Source organism: Homo sapiens, chromosome 17 (assembly GCF_000001405.40).
Source record: "Homo sapiens chromosome 17, GRCh38.p14 Primary Assembly".
Classification (NCBI taxonomy): Eukaryota; Metazoa; Chordata; class Mammalia; order Primates; family Hominidae; genus Homo; species Homo sapiens.
Genome location: NC_000017.11, coordinates 5719569 through 5722099, shown reverse-complemented (window position 1 = coordinate 5722099; position 2531 = coordinate 5719569). Strand labels below are relative to the sequence as shown.

General features: G+C 51.2%; 1 annotated feature.

Moving 5' to 3' along the window:
- Positions 970–1890: an enhancer, noted in NCBI's record as "NANOG-H3K27ac hESC enhancer chr17:5623530-5624450 (GRCh37/hg19 assembly coordinates)". NCBI's record gives its function as "activates a minimal SCP1, AML or CMV promoter by ChIP-STARR-seq in naive H9 embryonic stem cells {active_cell/tissue: H9 hESC(naive)}" and the evidence as "EXISTENCE:reporter gene assay evidence [ECO:0000049][PMID:30033119]".

Sequence of the window (2531 nt, the reverse complement as noted above, 5' to 3'; positions counted from 1 at the left end):
ACCGTGTAACGGTCCACCATGCCCCAAGCCTGGGAATACACCACACCACAGAAGAAGCAGCTAAGTAAGATGAAAAGTGTCAGGGCCGCTCTCCCTCTCCCCTCTCCCCTCTCCCCTCTCCCCTCTCCCCTCTCCCCTCTCCCCTCTCCCTTCTCCCCTCTCCCCTCTCCCTCTCCCTCTCCCTCTCCCTCTCCCTCTCCCTCTCTTTCCACGGTCTCCCTCTCATGCCGAGCCGAAGCTGGACTGTGCTGCTGCCATCTCGGCTCACTGCAACCTCCCTGCCTGATTCTCCTGCCTCACCCTGCCGAGTGCCTGCGATTGCAGGCGTGCGCCGCCACACCTGACTGGTTTTCGTATTTTTTTGGTGGAGACGGGGTTTCGCTGTGTTGGCCGGGCCGGTCTCCAGTTCCTAACCGCGAGTGATCCGCCAGCCTCGGCCTCCCGAGGTGCCGGGATTGCAGACGGAGTCTGGTTCACTCAGTGCTCAATGGCGCCCAGGCTGGAGTGCAGTGGCGTGATCTCGGCTCGCTACAACCTCCACCTCCCAGCAGCCTGCCTTGGCCTCCCAAAGTGCCGAGATTGCAGCCTCTGCCCGGCCGCCACCCCGTCTGGGAGGTGAGGAGCGTCTCCGCCTGGCCGCCCATCGTCTGGGACGTGAGGAGCCCCTTTGCCCGGCCGCGACCCCGTCTGAGAAGTGAGGAGCGTCTCCGCCCGGCCACCACCCCGTCTGGGAGGTGTGCCCAACAGCTCATTGAGAATGGGCCGGGATGACAATGGCGGTTTTGTGGAATAGAAAGGGGGGAAAGGTGGGGAAAAGATTGAGAAATCGGATGGTTGCTGTGTCTGTGTAGAAAGAAGTAGACATGGGAGACTTTTCATTTTGTTCTGTAGTAAGAAAAATTCTTCTGCCTTGGGATCCTGTTGATCTATGACCTTACCCCCAACCCTGTGCTCTCTCAAACATGTGCTGTGTCCACTCAGGGTTAAATGGATTAAGGGCGGTGCAAGATGTGCTTTGTTAAACAGATGCTTGAAGGCAGCATGCTCGTTAAGAGTCATCGCCACTCCCTAATCTCAAGTACCCAGGGACACAAACACTGCGGAAGGCCGCAGGGTCCTCTGCCTAGGAAAACCAGAGACCTTTGTTCACTTGTTTATCTGCCGACCTTCCCTCCACTATTGTCCCGTGACCCTGCCAAATCCCCCTCTGCGAGAAACACCCAAGAATGATCAATAAAAAAAATAAAAATTAAAAAAAAAAAAAAAAGAAAAGTGTCAGACCCAAGCGCAGTGGCTCACACCTGTAATCCCAGCACTTTGGGAAGACAAGGCAGGTGGATCACCTGAGGTCAGGAGTTCGAGACCAGCCTGGCCAACATGGTGAAACCCCATCTCTACTAAAAATACAAAAATTAGCCAGGCATGGTGGCATATGCCTGTAACCCCAGCTACTTGGGAGGCTGAGGCAGGAGAATTGCTTGAACCAGGGAGGCAGAGGTTGCAGTGAGCCAAGACCACACCATTGCACTCCAGCCTGGGCAACAAGAGCAAAACTCCATCTCAAAAAAAAAAAAAAAAGAGAAAACGAAAGAAAAGAAGAAAAGGAAAAGAAAAGAAAAAGAATAGGTAAAGAAAAGAAAAGGAGTCAGACTTCAGAGTCAGACAGACCTGAGCATGAATCACAGCTCCATCATTTACCAGTTGTGTGACTGTGAACAGATCATTTAGCTTCTCTAAGTCTTCATTTCCTTAACAACAACAAAAATGATGCAGCTAATAATGCCTACCCTGAAGAGTGTATGTGAGGATGAAATGAGAAAACGTATGGAAAGCACTACGTAGACACACAGTAGATATTCAGTAAGTGACCACGTAGCCATCTCTCCTGCAGTCCCAGCCGCTTACTTCTTCAGAGCACATTTGATGTCATTCTGGCCTTGGCAGAGCTCCCCTCTAGACCTTCTCCAACTCCTTCATTTGTGCTGATGGGAAGCAGGAAGGCTACAAACCACTTGGCAAAGAAGTCATCCTTAAAGAATTTAGCATGTTTAGTGGGAAATGTTTTAATCAGACAGTTGCAAGTTCCAAAACAGACTCCAACACTTGCTGGGTATGTGATCTTAAGCAAGTCATCCAACCTGTCTGAGCCTCAGTTTCCTGATCTGTAAATGGGGGTGATAACACCATCTCATAGGACTGGCCTAAGGATTGAATGAGATCCCAGATGCAAAACACCTGCCACAGAGTCTGACATATTGCAGGTGCCTAATCAATGTTAGTTACTACAACTTTCAGCTTTCTTTTTTTTTTTCCTCTGTCTCTCTCTGTCATCAGGCTGGAGTGCAGTGGTGCGATCTCAGCTCACTGCAGTCTCTGCCTCCCAGGTTCAAACAATTCTCCTGCCTCAGCCTCCCAAGTAGCTGGGACTACAGGCGCGTGCCACCATGCCCAGCTAATTTTTGTGTTTTTAGTAGAGACCAGGTTTCACCCTGTTGGCCAGGATGGTCTCGATCTCTTGACCTCATGATCCA